The sequence below is a fragment of the Homo sapiens genome, chromosome 3 (assembly GCF_000001405.40).
Source record: "Homo sapiens chromosome 3, GRCh38.p14 Primary Assembly".
Taxonomy (NCBI): Eukaryota; Metazoa; Chordata; class Mammalia; order Primates; family Hominidae; genus Homo; species Homo sapiens.
The window spans coordinates 122,385,073-122,409,738 of NC_000003.12; the positions used below are offsets into that span (position 1 = coordinate 122,385,073).

The following is a 24,666-nucleotide window of genomic DNA, read 5'->3' on the forward strand; positions in this document are numbered from 1 at the left end:
AATGGCACACACTACATTATTAAAAAGTTGTTAATTAAATTTTTAAAGGAAAAATAGCCCCAAACTTGGCTATTCAAATAATATAAATATATATTGTAATGTAAATGAAGTAATGCAAAAAAAAAGAGTGAATGTTGCATAGTTTCACAAGTTTGATACATAACCTTCCCCACCTCAAGATTATCCTTTACACAGCTTATCTAGTGTTCCGGTAGAGAATGGACTGGAAAACATGTCTCAAACTAGAGAGTATTATTATATTTACTTCCTTTAAAAGCAAACACTTCTTCCACTAAAATCCTCAATACTATGATTTCATTGATTTTGTCAGTTTTGTTGAACTAATTCACCTAAAATATCTTCTGTACATCCTATTAACATTATGAAGCTTTTCAACAAGGCAAGTGAAAGGATCATTGCTCTGTAAAAAAGTTAAAATGGACTGCATGAAAAGAACTTTGACATCTTGGAACTACTTTGACATCTTTGAACTAATACTGAGTATATTGTAAGTAGTTCATCTTCTTGCTTTGAGAATATATTTATGCATCTTGCATAAATATATTTTTGCATCTCTGCAAACTTCTGATGTGTAAAAACTTCACTATTGACCACTTAACCAAAGCAGAATTCCTTGAGTGATTTAAGAACAATTTATTTTACTTCAGATATAAAATTTTTAATAGCACACTAAGGATGTTATATGAGCAGCTCTCTCCATATGATCTTCCACGAATGTCTGATGCTTTGTGAGCAACTCCGCAACAACCTACTACCTTTCACCCACTTCATAGCTAAATACTTTCATATACATTATTTTGTTGGATGGATTTCTCATAGCAGCCCTCTCAGGTAAGTCTTATTCCTCCCACACTTTATAAATGAAGAAACATAGGTCAGAGATGACTTGTCCAGGATCTCTTTGCCAAAAAATGTTAGAGCCAGGAGAGGGTACCCTTTAATTCTGGAATTTTTGTGCTTTTTGCTGTTGTTCAAGCTGTTCATTCAGGGGCTGTGCGTGTGTGAATTTGTCATGACTAATTGGATCTCATTAATCTGAAATGGAAGAGTCATGAAATGCAGATTTAGTTCTGAAATGAAAGTACACCTTCATGTGCAAATGGCTTTTCAAGAAAGAAGACTGCTTTAATAAGCAGCCTTAGCCAAAGGAATGAAAGATCAAATAGAAATGTAGGCTCAATGTGGTGGCTCACACCTGCTATCCCAGCACTTTGGGAGGCTGATACTGGAGGATTGCTTGAGACCAGGAGTTTGAGACCAGCCTGGCTAACTTAGCAAGACCCTGTCTCTACAAAAAAAACTTTTAAAAATTAGCTGGGCATGGTGGCTCAAACCCATAGTCTCAGCTACTCAGGAGGCTGAGGCAAGAGGATCACTTGAGCCCAGAAGTTTGAGGCTGCATTGAGCTATAATACGATCATGCTACCACATTCCAATCTGGACAACAGAGTGAGACCCTGTCTAAAAAAAAAAAAAAAAAAGAAAAGAAGCATAATCTAGGCATACCTTACTTATCCAGAATATTTGGAATAAGATTCTCTAGGTAAGTGAAATTTCAGATGATCAAAACTTAACCTTATAAATGATGGACCTTTACTTTTGTTTCTGTTGGAAATCTTTGGTATACTCCCTTAGCAAACAATATAGCAAACATAATGTAGGCTTTTATGAGCTCGAATTTGTTGTTTTGTAGATGTAGTTGTAGATACAGATCAGGGTTGTTAACTTGTGGTACTGGACACCTCCACATTTGAGAGGTCCTGTGAACTTCTCAAATTTTTATGATTGTATACCATTTTTGAGAGAGAGGGTCCATATTTTATATCTGCTACTCAGAGCAGTTCATGCTCTTTAAGTTAAAAAGCACTGATACAGATGATTAGGAACTAAATGGCCATTTACCCACACTACGCTGGGTTTCATAAGGGTAAACACTGGCTCTGTTTTGTTTTTACTCAGTCCTTACCACTTATTGGTGTTCAGTTCATAGTAGACAGGCAATACATATTTTTTGGATGAAGGATGCTAGGAAATATCTTGGAACATGCTGCAAATGTAAGGTGAGTTTTCACACCTGTTTTCTCCTGAAAGAATAAAATAGATATAACTTTTAGGATATTGTATCTTTCCACAGAATGATTATTAGTTCAAAGGAATGGAATGACCTTACAAGAATGTTTCTTATTGAAAGAAAGTTTTGCTCCCCTAAACTCTGTTGACTGGTCAGATTTGAAAATGAATTTGTTACCGTCATTGTTACCAATGTAATGGACTATGGGCTGCCTTCCTTTTAGTTTAACCCACATCTCAGAGCATTAGAGTAGAGAGGTATCTTAGAAGTCAGGTAATTTAGTCCTCTAATTTTTACAGATGAGGAAACTTAAGGGCCAAGAAGGGAATCAGCTTGCCAAGGACCACACAGGTACAGACCTGGGACATAGCCAGTATCCCCTGGCTCCCATTCTGATTTTATTTCTACCACATTCTGCTACCTTATTCTTTTTGTTTGTTCTTGCTAACCAAACCTAAATGAGAACGTACGCATTTTAACTACCCCCACATTTGGCTTTACTTATTGCTCCTTTCCAGGTCTTGCCAAGTATTTATTGAGTACACAATGGATGCCCTGTGTGTATACTGTGAAGGCTCTAAAATGAATGGACTGCCCCACTCCTAGGGCTGATTTATTGCAATGAACAAACAAACATATATAATATACCATTGGCTTCAAGAATTCTGAGATTCTTGAAGGCTCCATTGAAATGAAGGGGTGTGAGAGTGATGTGAGCACATGTAGGGGCGGTAATGAGTTGTGAGCACATGTAGGGGCGGTAATGAGTCTGAAAAAGGATATGAGAGAGGAAAGATTACCTTAGGGATTTTGATCAGGAGGCAATAGGAGGTAAAGTGTAGTGTTTGGAGACGTTTGAACCAAATGAATTTGGACCAAAAAAACCTTTTAGCAGGAGAAGTAACACAAGAAACATTTCTGGAAAATTAACTCAGCAACTACATACCAGTTGAATTGCTGCTACCTATGAAGATATTACAGTAACTGATGTGTGAGGTGATGATGGAAATAACGAATATATTTAGGAAGTGTCTTGAAGAAAGGATGAGTTTGGAGATACTGAGTAAGGAAGGACTTAAAGACAAGTTTTTTAATGTTGAGGACTACAGAAGTATTGCCTCATTGTCAGAAATAAGAAAGTTGGAAAAATAATCAGAAACGCCATCAAAGATTTGTGTTAGTTTGGCAGAGAAGATGGTGCATTATTGAGTAGGTTTAGGTGGCACTGAGTTATAGGTTGTGAGAGGTTGAAGACCTGAGGGCAAAGGAAGAGTAAAGTTATGGAGATAAAGATATGGGAGCAATTAGTCTGGAGTTGATTTTTAAAACAGAATGGAGGAGTCCTTCCAGAGAGTAGCACAGAATAGAAGCAAGGACTAAGCCTTGGAGGTGTGACATGGTGTAAATAATAGGAACTGGGAAAGAAGACATTAAAGAAGATTGGTCATAGAGGTTGGAGATGAAGTGAGAGAATTTGGTGGTACAATGTAAGGAGGCATTGAATCCTTGTAGAAAGATGAGATCAGTCGAATCAAATGGCCACAAAAATGGGAAGAGTAGAGTCAGAAGGGCTAATGATGAGAATCTAAAAAAATGTATTCATGACCGGGCACGGTGGCTCAAGCTTGTAATCCCAGCATTTTGGGAGGCCGAGGTGGGCGGATCACGAGGTCAGGAGATCGAGACCATCCTTGCTAACACGGTGAAACCCTGTCTCTACTAAAAACACAAAAAATTAGCCGGGCGTGGTGGTGGGCGCCTGTAGTCCCAGCTACTCAGGAGGCTGAGGCAGGAGAATGGCGTGAAGCCGGGAGGCAGAGCTTGCAGTGAGCTGAGATCACAGCACTGCACTCCAGCCTGGGCAACAGAGCAAGACTCCGTCTCAAAAAAAAAAAAAATGTATTCATATGACTAGAAAGAGGTCACTAATGTTGGTAGAGTAATTTTAGTAAAATGATTGGAGAAGGAAACATTGTAGCAAAATAAAGTGTGGGTGGTGAAGTGAAGTAGTAGATACATGCCATTTATTCAATCATTTGAGCTATGAAAAAGAGGAAATAAGAATTTTATTAATAGTACCTGTTGAGAACAAGTGAATGCTTTGTCCAACATAGTGGACCTTCAGTGTTATTGTAGAGTAATAAGACAGAATTCTCAGTAACTACTAGTAGAAGTTACTGGAGAAGTAGTCAGCCTTTCTGGAAAGTAGTATAGATGGATAGATAGATAGATAGATAGATAGATAGATAGATAGATAGATAGATAGATAGATGAGATAGATAGATGGAAACTTAAAGGGGTTCATACCCTTTTACCCTTCACTTCCAGGATTTTATTCTAAGGAAATAATCAGAAATACCATCAAAGATGTATGTAGAGAACTGTTCATTGAAACATTACTTATAACACTGAAAAATTGGAAAGAAATCAAGTTGTAGGGAATTACTACATTCAGATTATAGCTGTGTGTCGGGTTTTATACAGCTATTAAAAGTATTAATATCTTGGAAAGTATTTGTGACATAGCAAGATACAGTATTATCTGATTATGAAAAATGTATATGTTTTATGTAAGTATAGGAAAGGTCTGAAAAGAAATATTAATGCACCAAGTTGTTATCCCTAAGTGCTATGATTATGAGTGCTTTTATTTTTCTTCACATCTTTTTTTAACTTCCAAATTTTCTGTAATGAGCAAGTGTTACTTTTATCATTTAAAGTTTGTTTTACTAAAAGCTTTTTACATAACATGGTGTGTAACAACTTGGTGGTACAAAGGTTTTTACATAGTGAGACCCGATCTCTACAAAACAAATTTTTTTAATTAGCTAGACATGGTGGCATCTGCCTGTGGTCCCAACTACTCCAGAAGATGATACAGGAGGATCGCTTGAGCCCGGTTCAAAGTTACAGTGAGCTATGATCTCTCCACTGCCCTTTACCCTAGGTGACAAAGTGAGACCTTGTCTCTAAAAAAAAAAATAAGTTTTTTAGTTTTGATTTTAAAGATGGGGGAGATAACATTTGGCAGGAAAAAGGCAGTGGAAAATAAGGATAAGTTTGGTACGACATCCCTCAGCAGAGGGATTACTACTTAAGAATAAAGGAAGACTGGTATTTCTTCAAGCCTGCAGGGAAGGATGAGAAAACGGATATAGGGAGTCTGTTTCTGTCACAAAGCCCAGGTCAACAGCTAAGGCCTAGAGAGTTTCAGATAGACACTCTGGGGAGTGGGTTGTAATATTGATTCTCTGATTCCCAGAGAGTTGTCATATCTCCAGTCACATCACCTATGGTTTTCTCCAAGAGGACCTTGAAAGATTCTGAGAAAGAAAAAGCATCCCTACCTTTCCTCACTGTCTATCATGGGGTTGGAAAGGATATTTATGGAAAGGAGGGGACTACCAGGAGAGAAGCTGGTACTTCAACCAGCCTCACCCTGGCTGACCACTATAGCCTCCAGCTAGCAATGATATTTCTAAGGCACTGGTTTTCAGATTATGGGTCCCCCATAGCAGAAGTTTCACCATTACCTGGGCAATTGTTAGAAGTGCACATTCTCAGGTTCTGTCCATACTGACTGTATCAGTTGGGTCCAGTAATCTGTTTCACAGGGTCCCCCAGGTGATTTCGATAGATAAAAAAGTTAAGAACCTTTACTCTTAAGATTAGCCGTTTGCCACCCAGAGCCTTAGAGACAGCTGTGAGGCTTCATCTTAACTTCCTGCTAGGGCCCTGGAGACACAGAATTGGTCAGCCAGGGACAAGCTGTTAAGTCCAGCTAGAGGGTTAAAGGGCTGTTTTTCTTTTGGTTTGTATGTTTTTAATCGTGATCCACCAGAGGATGGAAAATTTCTGGCTTGGACGTCTGGTCAATATATTCTGTCTCTTTGAGAGAAAACGAAGGTCTTAGTAATGATATTAAAGTTTGTTTATGCTTTCATGTTGTTATAATTGCAAAATAAAAACCAAGACCACATCAAATACTTCAGACATTTTTTAGCGATAACTTTTTAAAATTTAAAATTTTATTTTATTTTATTTTTGAGAGAAGGTCTGGCATTATCGCCCAGGCTGAAGTGCAGTGGCATGATCTCAGCTCTCTGCAACCTCTGCCTCCAGGGCTCAAGCCACCCTTCTGCCTCAGCCTCCTGAGTAGCTGGGACCACAGGCACATGCCACTGCGCCCAGCTAGTTTTTGTATTTTTTGTAGAGGTGGGGTTTCACTATGTAGTGATAACATTTTTAAAAATATTTTTAAAGCAAGACCTCATCTTTAAAAAAATATATTTACATTAGTCTATTATTCTAATATCTATAATAAGATAATATGTGTGTATGTTTTAATCAGCATTTATACTGTAGGGAGGTAAAAGTTATTAGCATACAATATGAAGTTGTAGTAAGAAAAAGTTGGGAGATACAGTCTGATCTAGGTGAACCTCTCATGTCTCCAAGTCCTTACCCTCCATAACTACCTCAGTACCTCTCTCACATCAAATTCTACTTGTCTTCCCATTATTCATTCTGTTCTGGCCATACTGGCCTTCTCTTTATGGGCTCTAGAATCTTTTAGGGTCTTTGCATTTATAATTCTTTCTGTTTGGAATATTCTTCCACCAGATAGCTGCATAGCTAGCCCTTGCTTCCCTTCAAGAGTGACATTCTCACAGAGGACTTCCTAACTACTCTATGTAAAATTTCATACACAGCCCATTCCAAACACATACTTCATGTCCCCATTGTTTATTTTTTTCTCTCTGGCACTTAGTATCTAACATATGTATAACTTTCTCCCCAGTAGAATGCAAGTTCTATTGGCACAGATTTTTATCTTTTTTATATATTGCCTAAAACAATGCCTGGCACATAGGAAGTACTTTGTTGAATGAATTACTCCAACATACATCGATGTCACTGATAGTAGGTATACATGTTAGCATTTTTTGCTTTATTATTTCTCAAACTGAGCTAGCTGAGAGGCAGTTTGTCTTCTGTTCTCCTAAACTGCCTTTGTTCTATAATTAGGAGGAATGGGAAAGGACAGCTGTCTTAGGAAATAATTATTGATTCTTTTTCTGTTTAAAGAGCAGAGTCCTTCTAGCTTGCTGCCGGTTAACCTTGTTCCTTTTGTAAGTGCCTGCCAAAGGAGGAATGGGATAGCATTGTGTGAGATGGGGCCTTGTAGGTCACATTAAACCAGTGGTTCTCTGGGGAGATGAAAAAGTCCTGGAGATGGATAGTAGTAATAGTTGCACAGCAGTGTAAATGTACTTAATGCCACTGAATTGTACACTTAAAATAATTAAAATGGTAAATTTTATGTTATGTATATTTAACCACATCTTAGGGGAGAGAAAAGCCTAGGTTCTCAAAGTATAGTCCAGAACCAGCATAGCAGCATCACCTAGGAACTTGTTAGAAATGCGAATTCCCAGCCTCCATTCCAGAACTGTGGATGCAGAAACTGGAGGTAGACAGCCTCATGATTTGTGTTTTAACAAGGCATTCCTCTGATTCACACCAAACACTAAAACACTAAAATTTGAAGATCACAGGATTTAATAATTGTGTCTTAATCCTGAGTGCTATGAAAATCTATTGAAGAGTTTCATAGACTTTTCCCATGGCCTCATAACTGCATAATTAACTTTGTCAGAAATCCTGACCACATTAGGGGTAAAATTGAAAAGTGTTCTAGAAGTTTTATCAAAGTTAATGTTTTACATAATATTTCAAAAAAAAAATAAACTTAACAGTTAGAGAGCCTGCTGTGTTTCAAGCATCTTACCAGATGCTCCCATATTTGCTTTTCCATTTAACCCTCAAATCAACTTTGGTACAAGAAACACTGCATTATCCACATTTTAAATGAGGAAACAAGCTAAAAGCAGTTAATTTATCTCCTTTCCACTAGGTGGCACTGATGTTGTGTTTGCCAGATCCAGGCAAAGCTTTCTGGCATTTATAGCCCTAGAAAACAAAATAAATGAGGCCTTTTATGAAAAAGACTGTGTGCCAGGTAACCACAAATAGAGATTCCAACTTCTGGTGTGTCAAGAGTAAGGACCTCTGAAAATCCATTTTTACCCAAAAGCAATGATAACACTGCCAGAAGTTGGCAGAAGCAACTTTTCCAGAACTCTGGAAAATTACCAGGCATTTGTGACAATCTGAGGAGCATTTATCCAAAAAAAAAAGCCTGAAATCGTGGTAGGACAGCAAGTTTTGTGGAGTTTTAACTTGCTTTATTCCTGTCTTCTTTCAGCTTCACAATAGTCTTGAAAACCAACAGCCTCACAAATCACAGTTACTTTGAAAACCAGCAGCCTTGCAGGCACTGAAGAAGGCAGAATGGGTTTAAGAGTTTTCCAAAACTTCCAGCTGCAGAGAATTGTTACTATTTGACTTGTCTGACAGTTCGCTGGAAACCCCACTCACAGGGCTTATCTTTTTTCACCTGACTTGGAGTTTATTCACTGCAAACAGTGTTTTCCCTGGTGCATTTGTTGAAAATAATCAGCAGCACTTGTTTGACATAACATGGAGTGGGTAACAGCTGGGTCAAACAAGAAGCTGGGGAATGAGATGTCCATCCTGACATCTGGAAAGCTCTGACATATTTCTAGAATGTAATATGTGTAAGGTTGGACACATTTTCCAGGAAAAACCTGAGAGGTCTCTAAGCTCTCACCTCACATTTAGTCTCTGTCCGAGCACGAATGGAAGGTGTGTTAGGCCAGTCTCGCATTGCTAAAAAGAAATACCTACGACTAGGTAATTTATAAAGAAAAGCAGTTTAATTGGTTCATCGTTCTTCAGGCTGTACAGGAAACATGATACTGGCATTTGTCAAGTTTCTAGGGAGGCCTTAGGAAACTTACAATCATGGTGGAAGGCGAAGGGGGAGCTGGCATGTCACATGTCCAGAGCAAGAGCAAGAGAGATCAGGGAGGTGCCACACACTTTTAAACGACCAGATCTCATAAGAACTCACTATCACGAGGACAGCACCAAGAAGGATGGTGCTAAACTATTCATGAGAAATCCACCCCCATGATCCACTCACTTCCCACCAGGCCACACCTCCAACACTGGGGGTTACATTTCAACATGAGATTTGGGTGGGGGTACAGATCCAAACTATATCAGAAGGCTAAGGCAGTGTTGCAGACTGCCTGCCTGAGGGTAGAAGACATGCCCCAACATGCACACACAGCCCGTAGGCAAACACTTAATAAACTTAAAGGCATTTATTAGTCTCTCCAGTTACTAGCTGACCACTAAGATAACCAGACAGACCTCTGTGGCCAAACACACAAAGGATACAAGGAGAGACTATGAACAACTCTATGGCAAAAATTACATAAACCAGATGAAATGGACACACTTTTAGAAAAAGAAAAATTATCAAAACTAAGTCAAGAAAAAATAAAATATCTGAAAAGTCCTGTAACAGGAGATTGAACTAGTGATTTTAAAACTTCCTGCAAAGAAAAAGTCCAGGCCCAGATGGCTTCAATTGTGCATTCTACCAAACATTTAAAGAAAAAAATAGAATTAATCTTTCACAAATTCTTCCAAAATACAAAAGAGGAGGGATCACTTCCCAATACATTTGATGAGGCCACATTATCCTCATACCAAACCCCTCCCAAAAAAATCTCAAGAAAACTATAGACCCATATATATCCCTTAGGAATATTGATGCAGAAATCCTCAAGAACTGCTACAAAATGAATCCAGTGACATGAAAAATTATAGACTGATCAAGTGGGATGTATGCTAAAAATGTAAGGTTAGGACTCCTGACTCAACATCATTCACCATGTTAATAGAATAAAGGAAAAAAACACATAACCACATCAGTAAACACAGAAAAAGCATTTGACAAAATGCAACTCCTCTTCATTATAAAAACACTCAGAAACTATGAATAGAAAGGAACTTCCTCAACCTGATAAAGGGCATTAAATGAAAAACCCACAACTAACATCGGACTTAATGGTGAAAGGCTGAATGCGTTTCCCCCATGACATGACAAGGATGTCCATTTTCAACAGACATTTCTGTTCAACACTGTACTTACTGGAGGTTCTCGTTAGGGAATTTAGGCAGGAAAAACAATAAGTGGCAAAAGAAGTAAAACTATATTCCCAGATAACATGATCATGTATATAGAAAATCCTAAGGAATACACACACACATACCCTGTTAGACTAAATGTTGAACAGTTTTGCAGTATGCAAGATAAATGGGCAATAAATAATGCAAACATGAAGAAAATTCCATTTATAATAGCATCAAAAAGAATAACGAAGTTTAAAACGTACTCTGGAAATTGCAAAAACACTACTGAAAGAAATTAAAGAAGACCCAAATAAATGGAAAGACATCCCATGTTCATGGTTTGAGAGACTTAATATTTTTAAGATGGAAGAATTCCTCAAATTGATCTATGGATTCAACACAATCCCCAACAAAATCCCAGCTGGGGTCTTTGTAGAGATTGACAAGCTGATCCTCAAATTCATACAGAAATTTAGAAATTTAAGGGACCCTGAGTAGGCAAACTAATCTTTAAAAAGAAAAGCCAAGTTGGATGACTCATACTTCCTGATTAAAAACTTAACTACAAAGCTGTAATAATTAAGACAGTGTGGTGCTGGCATAAGGACAGACATTTAGATCGGTGGAATAGAATTGATAGTCCAGAAATATACTCTCATATTTACAGTCAATTGATTTTCTATATGGCGCTAAAACAACTCAGTGCGGAAAAGAACAGTCTTTTAAACAAGTGGTGCTGGGAGAACTGGATATTTACATGCCAAAGAATGAATTTGGATCCTTTTCACAGAAAGTATACTAGTATAACTCAAAATGGATCACAGACCTAAATGTTAGAGCTAAAACTATAAAATTCTTAGAATATAGGAGTAAATCTTTGTGATATCGTATATGGCACCAAAAGCTCAAGCAATAAAAGAAAAGATGGATAAACTGGACCTCACCCAAATTAAATTTTTTTGTACTTCAAAGGACATCATCAAGATAGTGAAAAGATACCCATGGAGTGGGAGACTATATTTGCAAAGTACATATCAGATAAGGAAAGAACTCTTACAACTCAAAAATGAAAAGACATAACCCTACTTAAAAAAAAATAGGCAGAGGACCTAAATAGATGTTTCTCCAGAGAAGATATGCAAATGGCCAATTAGTACATGAAAAGATCCTCATTATTACTCATTAGATAAATGTAACTTAAGACTACAATGAGATACCACTTCCTACCTACTGGGACAGTTATAATCAAAAAGAATAACAAATGTGGGTATGGATGTGAAGAAATTGGATCCCTCATATATGGAAATGTGAAATGTTACAGCCACTTGGAAAATGGTCTTGTAATTCCTTAAATGATTAAATGGAGAATTATATCACCCAGTTGTTTCACCCCTTAGTATATACCCCACAAATGAAAATACATGTTCCTCAAAAACTTGTACACAAATGTTTATAACAGTATTATTCATAATAGCCAAAAAGTGGAAACCACCCAAATGTCCATTAGTTGACTAATGTGTAAACAAACTCTGGTATAGTGGAATAAAATTTGTCAATAAAAAGGAATCAAGTGCTGACAAATGCTACAACATGGATGAACCTTGAAAATATAAGTAAAAGAAGACAGTCATAAAAGGCCACATGTTGTATGATTCCATTTATATAAAATGTCCAGAATATGTAAATCCATAGAGACTGTGACTTTTAGGGTTGGGGGAAGGAGGAAACAGGGAATGACTGCTAATGTATTCAGGATTTCTTTCTGGGGTGATGAATGTCTTCTGGAATTAGTGATCAATACACAACTTAGTGAATATATGAAAACCACCAAATTTCACACTTTAAAAGTGAGTTTTATGGTAGGGAATTATGTATCAATAAAAGTATTATTTTAAAAATCTTAACAACCATGAACATATTTTCATGAGAAATCCACAGTAGTGTCTTTTAAATTGTTATGTTCAAAAGATTTTTTTTTTTAACAGCAAGGGGGGAAAAGTAAGGAAATGATGCTTTTCACCATCATTGGGAAAACCGCCTCTGTAACCATATTTTACTCCTACTCCCTCTCTCACCTCCCCTTACTGCTCCAAACTCTGAGGCTGCAAGACACCCAAGTGGGAGTTTGGAACTTCCAAGGCACAGTCTTTTTATCTATTAGCAAATTCATTTTTAACCACAAAGGTCTGAGGGCACACTCTTACTGCATTCAATACAAGTCTTGGACATTCCATTTCTGTCATCTAGAGCATCATATAGTGGCAAAGCCCTAGTCAGATTTATCTCTGGTGCCTTTCCAGCTTTCATTTCTGTTCCACTGCTCCACATCCTAGGGACTCAGGGGCTCTTAGGTGTCTTCTGATTCTCAGGAGCCTGTACCAGACCTGGCCTCATCTGCACCACAATCCCAAGATCAGAATTACTCTCCTTTTCTCCCACCTGATCAAAACTATTTCTGGTTGTCTCTGCTTCTGATTTTAATTAATTAAAATTATTCATGCTAAAGCTGAAGGTAACAATTGCTAATCAAAACTAATGTCTTAAATGTATTTATTTTATGAAGGTATTTCCTAGCTTTGTTCACTGAAAAGGCAAAAACAGTGACAAACTGAAAAAAAATGAGCCCCCACTAAGGAGTCTCTAAAAACATTTCTTTAAAAGAACCAGAGCCCATTGGGAGGAATGTGTGATTCCAACTCGGGCAGAAAACATTTAAAATCAGTCTGGAATATCTTGTCAGAAAGAAAGCTATCAATGACCACTGATGATGTGTTGAAAGGACTCGGGAGCCAACTTAGAAGGGTTCCCAATGGGATTAAAAGGAACAACTGAAACAGTCTAGAGCACATCACATGTGTAAAAATGCAACGTAAGGAAGTGCAAGAAAACCAATTTGTTCATTTTAAAACTGGCAAATAAAGGGAAAGAATCCAGCATTTATTCCACATTTTCTGCACGGTTTATGCCTTAAGATAACCAAATAGTTAATGTGAAGGGGGAGAATACCACCATTTTGCAATCCCTAATGAAATGAATGGATCTAGGTAATAATCACCATTGTCTGCTAAAAAAAAAAGATAGATGAAAGGTTGATGGGGAACTTTCTAAAAGGTGAATCAGACTGATAGCATGTACTGAACAATCTTAATATGAAAAGAGACAAAATTGGCATATGCCTATTGATGTGGCATAATAAGACAGACACAATACCACCTATGACATTCTTGCTAAAAGATCTAATCTAAATCTTTCAAGCCTCAAAAATCTGTTTACAAGGAATAGAGGAGTTTGGAGAATATGTTGGGCAACACCATGGGGGTGTGATAAGCAAAATCTAAAATTGAGGGACACTATAGGACTAAAGACTGGTTTCTTTAACAAATAAATTATTTTAAAAAGTAAGAGGGGAGACCTATAGATTTAAAGAAACTCAGGAAGCATCAGCCATATTCAGTTTGTGCACCTATTTTGAATAAGCCAACTGCAAAAAAAAATGAGCCTATCAGAAATTTCATCTTAATAGGATTTGATCATAATATACTGATAATAAGGAACATTTAAAAATTATATTAGTATTTCAGATATGATTTTGAAATACATACTGAAGTATTTGTGGATGAACTAATATAATATTTGGGATTTGCTTTAAAACAATCTAGTAAGGGGTAGATAGTAGATGGAGTTTAGGTTAAACGATATTTTTAAAATTTTTTAAGTTCAGGGCTACATGTGCAGGTTTGTTATATAGGTAAACTTATGTCACAGAGGTTTGCTGTACAGTTTATTTTGTCACCCAGGCACTAAGCCTAGCACCCATTAGTTATCTTTTCTGATCCTCTCCTCCCTACCACCCACAACCCTCAGGTAGGCCCCAATGTTTGTTGTTCCCTTCTGTTTGTCCATGTGTTCTCATTATTTAGCTCCCACTTATTAATGAGAACATGCAGTATTTGGTTTTCTGTTCCTGTGTTAGTTTGCTAAGGATAATGAATGACCTCCAGCTCCATCAGTGTTCCTACAGAGGACATGCTCTCATTCTTTTTTTATGGCCGTGTAGTATTCCATGGTGTATATGTACCACATTTTCTTATTTTATTTATTTATTTTTTGAGACACAGTCTCACTCTTGCCCAGGTTGGAGTGCACTGTCATGATCTAGGCTCACTGCGACCTTCGGCTCCGGGGTTCAAGTGAGCAATTCTCATGCCTCAGCTACCCAAGTAGCTGGGATTACAGGCATGCACCACTGGGCCCAGCCTAAAGAAAAGACCACATTTTCTTTATCCAGTCTGCCATTGATGGACATTTAGGTTGATTCATGTCTTTACTGTTGTGAATAGTGCTGCAGTGAACATACACATTCATGTGTCTTCATGATAGAACATTTATATTCCTTTGGAGATATACCCAGTAATGGCATTGCTGGGTCTAATGGTAGTTCTGTTTTTAGGTCTTTGAGGAATCGCCATACTTCTTTCCACAATGGTTGAACTAATTTATACTCCCATCAACAGCATCTAAGTGTTCCTTTTTCTCTGAAACCTCACCACAGCATCCCTTATTTTTTGACTTTTTAATAGCCATTCTGGCCAGGCACGGTGGCTCATGCCTGTAATCCCAGCACTTTGGGAGGCTGAGGCAGTCGGATCACCTGAGGTCAGGAGTTCAAGACCAGCCTGGCCAACATGGTAAAACCCCGTCTCTACTAAAAATACAGAAATTAGGCGGGTGTGGTGGCAGACGCCTGTAATCCCAGCTACTCGGAAGGCTGAAGCAGGAGAATCGCTTGTACCTGGGAGGTGGAGGTTGCAGTGAGCTGAGACCACACCATTGCACTCCAGCCTGGGCAACAAGAGCAAAACTAAATAGCAAAGGCTTGGAACCAACCCAAATGCCCATCAGCGATAGAGTGGATAAAGAAAATGTAGCCCATATAACCATGGAATACTATGCAGCCATAAAAAGGATGAGTTCATGTCCCTTGCAGGGACATGGATGAAGCTGGAAACCATCATTCTCAGCAAACTAACACAGGAACAGAAAACCAAACACTGCATGTTCTCACTCTTAAGTGGGAGCTAAACAATGAGAACACATGGACACAGGGAGCGGAACATCATGCACCAGGGCCTGTCAGGGGGTGGGGGTTTAGGGGAGGGATAGCACTGGGAGAAATAGCTAATGTAGATGACGAGTTGATGGGTGCAGCAAACCACCATAGCATGTGTATACCTATGTAACAAACCTGCATGTTCTGCACATGTATCCTAGAACTTAAATAAATAGATAAATGAAAAAGACTGAGAATGGCCGGGCATGGTGGCTCACACCTGTAATCCCAGCACTTTGGGAGGCCGAGGCAGGCGGATCACCTAAGGTCAGGAGTTTGAGACTAGCCTGACCAACATGGAGAAACCCCGTCTATACTAAAAATACAAAAAAATTAGCTGGGCATGGTGGCAGGCGCCTGTATTCCCAGCTACGTGGGAGGCTGAGGCAGGAGAATCACTTGAACCTGGGAGACAGAGGTTGCGGTGAGCCGAGATCGCGCCACTGCACTCCAGCCTGGGCACCAAGAGCGAAACTCCATCTCAAAACAAAAAAAAAAAGACTGAGAATATCGTTACTATATAGAGATGTTCATTGGGGAGAAAGTCAATAGAGTCTTGAATATTCTCGTGATGTGCAGAATAATTGTGTAGAGATTATTTTAAATCATAAATACATCTTATATCTTAATATCTTAAATATGTTTTGTTTTCCATATATACTTAAGATATTTCTATGAAAATGTCTTATCCTAATATTTGCCAGCAAGAGTCTTGTGTAACCTTTTGAAAGTTGAGTAATAACTGTAATGCTGCTTTGCTTATTTTTCATAAAACAGTGATTTTCTTTAATATATCTGAAAATGCATTTTTCATTTATTTTTTCTTATTATTATATGTATATATCAAGTGTGGCATTTGAGAGTCTGTTGATAAAATTTACAAAAGTAGAATTACAATTTTATGTTAATGATGAAAGAATGACTTATAATATTCACCTGATTGTATCTCTTATTTTGTGTGCTTTTGTTAAACATATGTCGATTTATTTTGCCAACATGATTATATAGACAGAGAACTCCTTTTCTTTCAGGTTGGTTCATGTGATCCTGGTTAATGGAACATAAGTGAGATTTTATGGGTGACAGGGAGAGAGATCAGGCTTGACTTGAGAGCACGTGGGAAAAGAAGGGGGCTATCTCTTCGCAAAGATTTAAGTATCTTATAAGAACTGTTTGCCAGTGCAATTATGAGTAAGTGTATTTGTGCCTAATTTTTATTTTTTAAAAGCTCAGGTGATTATAATTTCATCTGTGAAATGTTGGAAGTATAGTCTGATTAAAATAGTATATATCTAAAAAAAAAAAATAGCCATTCTGGCTGGTTGTGAGATGGTATTGCATTGTGGTTTTGATGTGCATTTCTCTAGTGATCAGTGATGTTACTTTTTCTTCTGTATGCCTGTTGGCTGCACGTATGTCTTCTTTTGAAAAGTGTCTGCTCACGTCCTTTGCCCACCTTTTAATGGGCTGGTGTTTTTTTTCTTGATAATTTGTTTAAGTTCCTTATAGAGCTGGATATAGACCTTTGTCAGATGCATAGTTTGCAAAAATTTTGTCTCATTCTATAAGTTGTCTGTTTGTTGATAGTTTCTTTTGCTGTGCAGAACCTGTTTAGTTTCTGCACAGTAAAAGTTAAATTTATTAGATCCCATTTGTCCATTTTTGCTTTTGTTGCAGTTGCTTTTGGCATCTTCATCATGAAATCTTTGCCCATTCCTATGTCCAGAATGGTATTGCCTAGGTTGTCTTCCAGGGTTTTTATAGAGGTTAAATGGTATTTATTAGCCATATAGCGATCATTGTTGAAAATGGGTGATGAGTATATAGGGGTTCGTAATGCTACTATCTGTGCTTTGAGTTTAAATTTTTAAAATAAACTATATATATTATATATATAGTTTTAAAGTTATATGTAGTTCAAAACTACATCTAAAATTGATTTCTAATTAAGGACTTGTGGCTTGCAAGGAGCAAGGCTTTCTAGAGTCACTTGCTGACCACTGCAGCCCCCTAACCAGTTTATCAGCATCGTATTGGCAACTTGGTTACCTAGTTTATCACTTTTGGGAGGTTACTAATCTTTACTTAAACAGCCCTGATGCCATAATACATAATATTGCCACCAGAGCCATTGTTATGATAAGACACATGTGGGAAGTACTTATTTAAAATTTACAGCTGATAACATTTTTATGTTGTAAATTCCTAATTTCCTAATCAATAAAACATTTATATTTTAAAACAGCATCAAGCATAGCACTTTAAATATACTATGTGTATCTTACATATAGTAAATTCATTTCCTAAATGAACTACCTTTTATAAATGAAACGTAACTTGCGGGTATTTCTTATTTTGAGAAAACATCACATTTTCTTTCTTTCTTTCTTTGAAACATTTTCCTCTCTTTTTTAGGAAGCTGTTTTAGGTTATGTGAAAGAGATGTTTCCTCATCTCTAAGGCTTACCAGAAGCTCTGATTTGAAGAGAATAAATGGATTTTGCACAAAACCACAGGAAAGTCCCGGAGCTCCATCCCGTAAGTTTTTATTTTTTCTATTTATGGAGTTGGTAGCTCCCAAAGAGTAGGAAAACTTGGAATCAAAAGAACCCAAAAGAGAAGAGGTTCCTATATCATACCCTCCCATGTAGAGAGAACACATTGTGTTCACATTGTGCATGTGCACATGACCAATATGAGCACAACATGGGAGGCCTGAGGGAGGCCCATGTTCCTACATCATACCTCCCATGTTTTACTCATATGCAGGCCCATCTTCCTACATCACACTTCTCATGTTTTACTCATACGTAGGCCCATGTTCCTACATCATACCTCCCATGTTTTACTCATATGCAGGCCCATCTTCCTACGTCACACTTCTCATGTTTTACTCATACGTAGGCCCATGTTCCTACAGCAGACCTCCCATGTTGTATTAATATTGGTCATGGGCACATGCACAGTGGTTTCTTCATTTTCAGCATTTGTCATTTTCATCTTCTTGCCTGTAGGGTTGGACTGGAGCTTTCTGTAGGAGAATGGATGCACCAAAGTAAATAGTAGTCCAGAAATTATGTTTTAAAGAACTCTAAAGATGAACCAAATTAAGATATTATGCGTTAGGTAAAATATAAGCAGGGCCTTCTCCTTATCACCCTCACTGGCTCTCCCTTTGCACTGATTTTTATCTCTATTCCCGACTTATTAATGAAATGACTCAGATGGCATATATTCCCTTCAGAGTCAGCAAATCTTTAAGTAGTATTCATGCTCTTTCCTTCCCCAACTGGGTCTTTTCCCGTCTTCTTTTAGTTACAATACTGCTGTTGTCTTAGTCATCCAAGTTTGAGGTTCTTCGTGACTCCTTCCTCTTTGTCTTAACCAGTCTCCACATTCTTTCAGTCATCCTCAGACTGACCTCATCTCTCTTTCCACTGCGACAACTCTGGTTCAGAGAATATCCGCTCACCATGGTATTACAGGCTCCCATTTGGACTTTTTGCCCACTCTACCGTGTCCCCCTTTTCTGTCTCCATCCATTGTACAGATAATAAGCCTTCCTAAAACATTAGTTTCTTCCTTGTTTCAAAATGTACAGTAGTTCCCAATCAAGTCTAAACCCCTTAGCCTGACATTCAAGATCTGGTAAAATCTGATTGTACCTTACAAACTTTTTCTTAGTCTGCTGAAGTCAGACAAGCTCCTCACCGTTTCCTTGGGATTTTATAATCTTATTTGGAAAATGAAGCATCCTAAGAAATTCCATTCAAATAAAGTTCTAATTAACTTGAGGTTTCTCAGTGTTTCTGTTTAGTGACTAGTTAAAAAGCACTAATACCATTTTTCTGTTGTTAAATTTGAGAGTTATAATCTCAAACACATAAAATTTCTTGTCTGGTTTTTCTCATAGGCACTTACAACAGAGTGCCTTTACACAAACCTACGGATTGGCAGAAAAAGATCCTCATATGGTCAGGTCGCTTCAAAAAGGAAGATGAAATCCCAGAGACTGTCTCGTGAGTGCTGAATTTAGTATTACAAGCAGCTTTCATTTCTCACTGATCTAAGGGAAAAGCAATGCCTCTGAGTTCCAACTGTTTAAAACTTTTCAACCAAATTTGAAAACATTTTTCACTTTTCCAAATGTTTTATCTTTGGTAAGTACTTGGAATATAAACAATGCTAGAAAACCTGTGTCTTATCATTGTTAAGTTACACAGTGACTGGTGAAGAACTGTCAGGTACTCTGAAGTCAATTGATTATTTGATTTCATCCCCTGGCTACAGAAGTGTGACTTTTTTAAAGTTTGTTTTTAATCTAGGTATATAAATTAAGTACCATTGACAATGACTGTATTCCCCCAAATCCACTTAAGTACTCAACCTTAGGTGTAAAAGTATTTAATTGCAATATTCTGGAATTCAGGAAAGAGTGCTTCCTGTCACCAACTTCCTTAAACCTAAGGGAAGGGATCTTGGCTGGGATCATGGAACTTTTTCAGAGTTTGTAGATGATGAGTGCAGGTTCCTCCAACCCAGTTTCTCAACTCAGTACTATTGATATTTGGGGCTTGATAATGCTTTGTGGCAGGGGGGTGTCCTATTTGTTGGAAGATGTTTGGCAGCATCCCCGGCTTCTGCCCCCTACATGCCCGTAGCATTGCGGCAGTGCTGACAACCAGAAATGTCTCCAGACACTGCCAAATGTCCAAGGGGCACGAGCGGGGTGGGAATCTCCCCTGGTTGAGAACCAGTGCCCTAGCCTCATGTTAAAGACCCTGACTGGCTGGCATCTTGGCTAAAAAGAGATTCTGAGAAATAGATGTCATCTCCTCTGTGAGGCATCATCCTATTCAGGGACAGGGACTTCAGACAAAGCTCGTGGAAGTTCCCTGTCAGCAAGAAACTATTCCTGGATCTTCTGGTCTCTGGTTTCAAGTCATGATTGAAAAAGATCTGAGCTCATTCAGGATTTCTTTCCCAGGGAAATATGTAGTATTTACTTTCTGTTTACAACAGCTTTAATAGAGCTTTTCTGCTTCTGCCAGTCAAATTGATAGCACATTACTTTAACTAGAATTATTTCAGCAGGAAAGCCCTGGTTTTTCTTAGCTCAAGTCATGTATTCTTCTGGGAAATAAGAGAATACTGGAAATAACAGTGACATCAGGTTCTTGCCTATGCCCTAATTCTTCCTATACCAGCAGAAAATAAGCTGGTAGACACCCATGGCCTTAACAGATGCTGTATAGGCTTTGCTATAGAACACCTTCCTCAGTCTGCCTAATAGTTGGTTCCAAGATCCCCTCAGGCCCAAAATACTACCTCACGAATCACTCTGGAAGGGTCTTTTCTGGGCCTGGGCAGCCATTTGTCCTTGTGCTGGTAGTTCTGAACAGGCACTGCTTAACTTGCCCATTCCTATTACTCCCTATGGAATGGATTACTTTTCATGAGGATCATGGCACTTCAAATCCCATAAAATACCGTCAACATGGGAAGTCAGTTTGTGGTTAGTGGAATCTCAGGTGCTCCTAACTGACCAATTTGACAGTCCTTAGCAGTTGTCTTGGGTTCCTGCCAGCCTGCAGGCCCAGCTTAAGTGCCTGGAGAACCCCGTCCACATGCTGCCTCACAGGTCCCAGCTCCTACATCACATTGTACATGGCTTCATCATCTTCCTCCTTCCACCTGCAACATCCCAGACTCTTTGCCTCCTTCCAAGCATTTTTAAAGTACTCCCCTCCCCAATTTTAAAAGTAATATATGTTAAATATCTCAGGGGAAAGAAAGCACTTCAATCCCATCATCTAGAGATAATCACTTCCTATTTACACATCTACTGAGAAGGCCATAAGTTAATCCTGGGCCCCATAAGGGCTCCACATCCCCTGCCTTGAGGTTCTGCCAGACACCGAGGTAACAGAATCGTGACCACCAGGTGTGGCAATGCATGCCTATAGCCCCGGCTGCTCAGGAGGCTGAGGCAGGAGGATCGCTTCAGTCTAAGATTTTGAGTCAGCAACATGGTGAGACCCCATCTCTTTAAATAAAGTAAATTAAAAATAGAACCATGACTCACTGCCTACTTGCAAAATCACCAAGGTAGATTGGCCTTTAGACTCTTCTATATTAAGCCTCTTAGGTTTCACACAAGAATGATGAACCAACCATCAACTTTTTTTTAAGGCACATGGGTCTGTATTCAGTAGATAGGTTAGAAGAGCTGCACTTTGGCACTTGCCAAAGACCACAATATCAAGTTCACTGTCACTCAATTTTAGCAAAACATTTGTTTAAAAAGATAAATATTGAGGAGCATTGCTTAAAGGATCTTCCTACTATTTTAGATATTCTCAAATCTATTCTGGGTTCAAGACAGAGAGCAAAAAGCTGGGTATATGGAGCACATTGGTTAACTTTCTCCAATGTTTGATCATTCTGAATTGTGCTTTGTGTTGAAACATATGAAGCTTATTGTAGTATCTGTTGTCGAGATGTTTTCAGACGATGACTACATCACATAATGTCTTCTTAAGAACCTCAGGGAGAAATGACTGTTTCACTTCTAGCATTTATAGGCTGCTTGGAAACCTGAGAGCCAAAATTGGGGTCCACCATAGCAAGTGTAGATTAATATGCCTTGCCCATTTTTTTTTTTTGGCTTTGTTCTTGACTTCTCTTTTTGTTTTCTTCTTTTGTACTTAATTGTGTGCTATCCTGTATTTTATACATAAATGAGTTACGAAAAATGCCTCATCCTCCCCAAAGTCCTATGAGATCTCTAGGCCCTTTTTAAAGAGATCTCTAGGTCTCCCTATTTATATTTATAGACACTACTACATTTTGAATTTATACACAGCCTTTTATCCTGAGCAACTTCAGAAAGGGAAAAGTTAATAACTTTCTCTCATGATCTCATTGTATTACTAGGTTGGAGATGCTTGATGCTGCAAAGAACAAGATGCGAGTGAAGATCAGCTATCTAATGATTGCCCTGACGGTGGTAGGATGCATCTTCATGGTTATTGAGGGCAAGAAGGTGAGAAGGGGTTTCTTCTCTATCCAGTATGTATGTTCTCCACCAAGAACCTAGAGTAAATCAGGGATTGACCCTTGTATTTACCCTCTGAGAAGAGGAGGCTACTTTCTACATTACATGAGAAAAGATAAGCAAAAAAATAAGACATATTGGGAACAAGCCTGGAATATCATCCTTGGGGATAGATAGCAAATCCTAACTTTGGCGTGGTGAAGAAGGACTAGATTCATTTTGTGTAATGTAAATTTAAAAAGTGTTTCTGATGACAGGTGTCATAATGTAAATTAAGAAATAGGACACTGGCATATTTAATCACCCACTGCATATTTCCAGAGTGCTCTTGGTACCCAAGTGTATTTACCCTCACCATAACTGCCTTCAGCATGGTGAGCTTTCTTAGCGGGGTTCTTTATTTGAAGCTCAGCCAGACAGGGCCATGTGTCTAAGGACCACAGCTCCTAAGCAGTACATAGGAATACAAGTCCAGAAATCTTTAGCACAGATTATAATTAATAGCTATCACTAATTGAACACTCACTGCATTCCAGGTACTTTTCTAGCTGGTATCTCATCTGAACCTCACAAAAACACTGTAAGATAAGTATTATTAGGACCTGATTTATAGATGAGGAAAACTATAGCTTAGAAAGCTTTAGTAACTTGCCCAAGGCCACATATCTCCTTAATGACGAGCCACAGTGTGAACCTAGACCCAATTCAGGTAATAGGAAAATTCCTCCCATTTATTGAGTGCTTATTATGTAACAGGCACTGTTAAGCTCACTTAATCACCCCCATAACCCTAAGAGGTAAATAGTTTTCCCAAACTCACACAGCTAACAAGTGGCAAGATAAAAATCTAGACCCAAGTTTGCAGGTTACCAAACCTCATACTATACTATCTTGCTATTAAGCCATAGTTATTTTTATATTCAGCAGCTTTGGTCAAATTCTTCTTTTAATACCATGTATAATTCTATATATCACAGCTTCCATGTGGAAAGTGATGTCTTACAACTACTTTAAGATACTAAAAAGGTCCTTCTATACACGCACTCTTAACTGACTTTCTTATCCTCAGTAATTCCAGAGTAAAAGGAAATGTACTTTTGGCTGTCTTCATTCTTGCAGTTAAATGGAAATACTGACCATTTTAGGCTGACCTCATGGGAGTACGAAGGGGCAAATGTGCTGAGCTGGGTGAAGTTCTCTTGAAAACTCTGTTCCCACCCCACTTCATTTTTTCTTGTCTCCCTCTTTGACCTCTCATGCATAGTTCTCAGATTAAAACCAGCAGAAACATGTGGACAGGACTGTGAGCTTCTAGGATTCTGAGAAATTTGCATTGCTTTTGTATACTCGATTGTACTAGCTGAGTTTAAATACTCCAGAAGCAAATTATTCACCTGGAATCTCTTCTAGCATCATCCAGGGGTATATGCTGTGTATTTTAGAGAGTTCTTCTCCTGTTCTTTACCATAAAATTGTAACATTTTAGTTTTATGGAATTTCTGTTTCCATAAATACTACTGGAATGGAGAACTTTTGAACTCAATGTGATTTGGAAGAGAAAAATTAGCCATTGTATATTTTGCTCTCACCATCAACTTCCCTTTCTCCCCCCGCTCCCCCACCCCCCGCCACATACCCAATTCTTTTACATATGAAATTACACAGATAGAAGGAAATATCAGCTTAGGGTGCTAGTTTCACTATTTGGTATAAAAGTGTTGAAACTGGCCTGTATGTAAGCTTCATAGAAATCTGACCGTTTACATGGAGGGAAACAAGGGAAGAGGACGGTTGCCTCCCCCACTCAAAGGTTGGAATTGTAGTACAGATACTCGTGGAAATCATCAATGGTAGTATTTGGGTAAAGTCTGGGATTCCCAAAGCTGAATGTTTTTGGTAAAAGAGAAGTGAGGAACTAGAAGGATCTGAGTATGCAGATAAGTTGGGGAAGGAGAAATGGCAGCAACAGAGAAAAGTGAAAGAAGAAAAACGGGATAGAAATGGCAATGAGAAGGTATTTAGTATAAAAGAGAAGTGGGGTGGAATGAGAAGAAAGTATAAGAGAAAAGGAGAGGATAAAGACTGAAAGAAAGGGGCCAGAAGGGAAGAAAAAGGAGAGGTGTGGCACTTCTTACTTATGCTTGAGTGGATGAGCTGCTGTTCTTGGAAGCGTACGAGGAAGTTGAAGCACATAGAGGAAACTGCCGTGCTCAGTGTGCAAGCAGCAGAGGACTCCATGCCTCCATGCCTCTGTTAACCTGCTGTCATCAGTGCAAGGTAAAGACACCCTCCCCTGACCAGCATACAAATCACCTGTTCAAATCTGTTTTGCTTTAG

At 38.4% G+C, this 24,666-nt stretch overlaps 1 protein-coding gene across 1 annotated transcript in view, besides 1 other annotated feature; it reads left to right on the forward strand.

The window, feature by feature from the left end:
• FAM162A (family with sequence similarity 162 member A) overlaps nt 1–24,666 on the forward strand; it is a 28,153-nt gene that overhangs the window by 891 nt on the left and 2,596 nt on the right. The window contains exons 2-4 of the mRNA NM_014367.4: nt 17,688–17,810; nt 19,186–19,291; nt 22,209–22,317. Coding sequence (NP_055182.3) covers nt 17,688–17,810; nt 19,186–19,291; nt 22,209–22,317 — 338 coding nt within the window. The remainder of the gene's footprint in view (nt 1–17,687; nt 17,811–19,185; nt 19,292–22,208; nt 22,318–24,666) is intronic.
• Nucleotides 21,388–21,437: an enhancer, noted in NCBI's record as "active region_20368". NCBI's record gives its function as "activates an Ori minimal core promoter by ATAC-STARR-seq in GM12878 lymphoblastoid cells {active_cell/tissue: GM12878}" and the evidence as "EXISTENCE:reporter gene assay evidence [ECO:0000049][PMID:35858748]".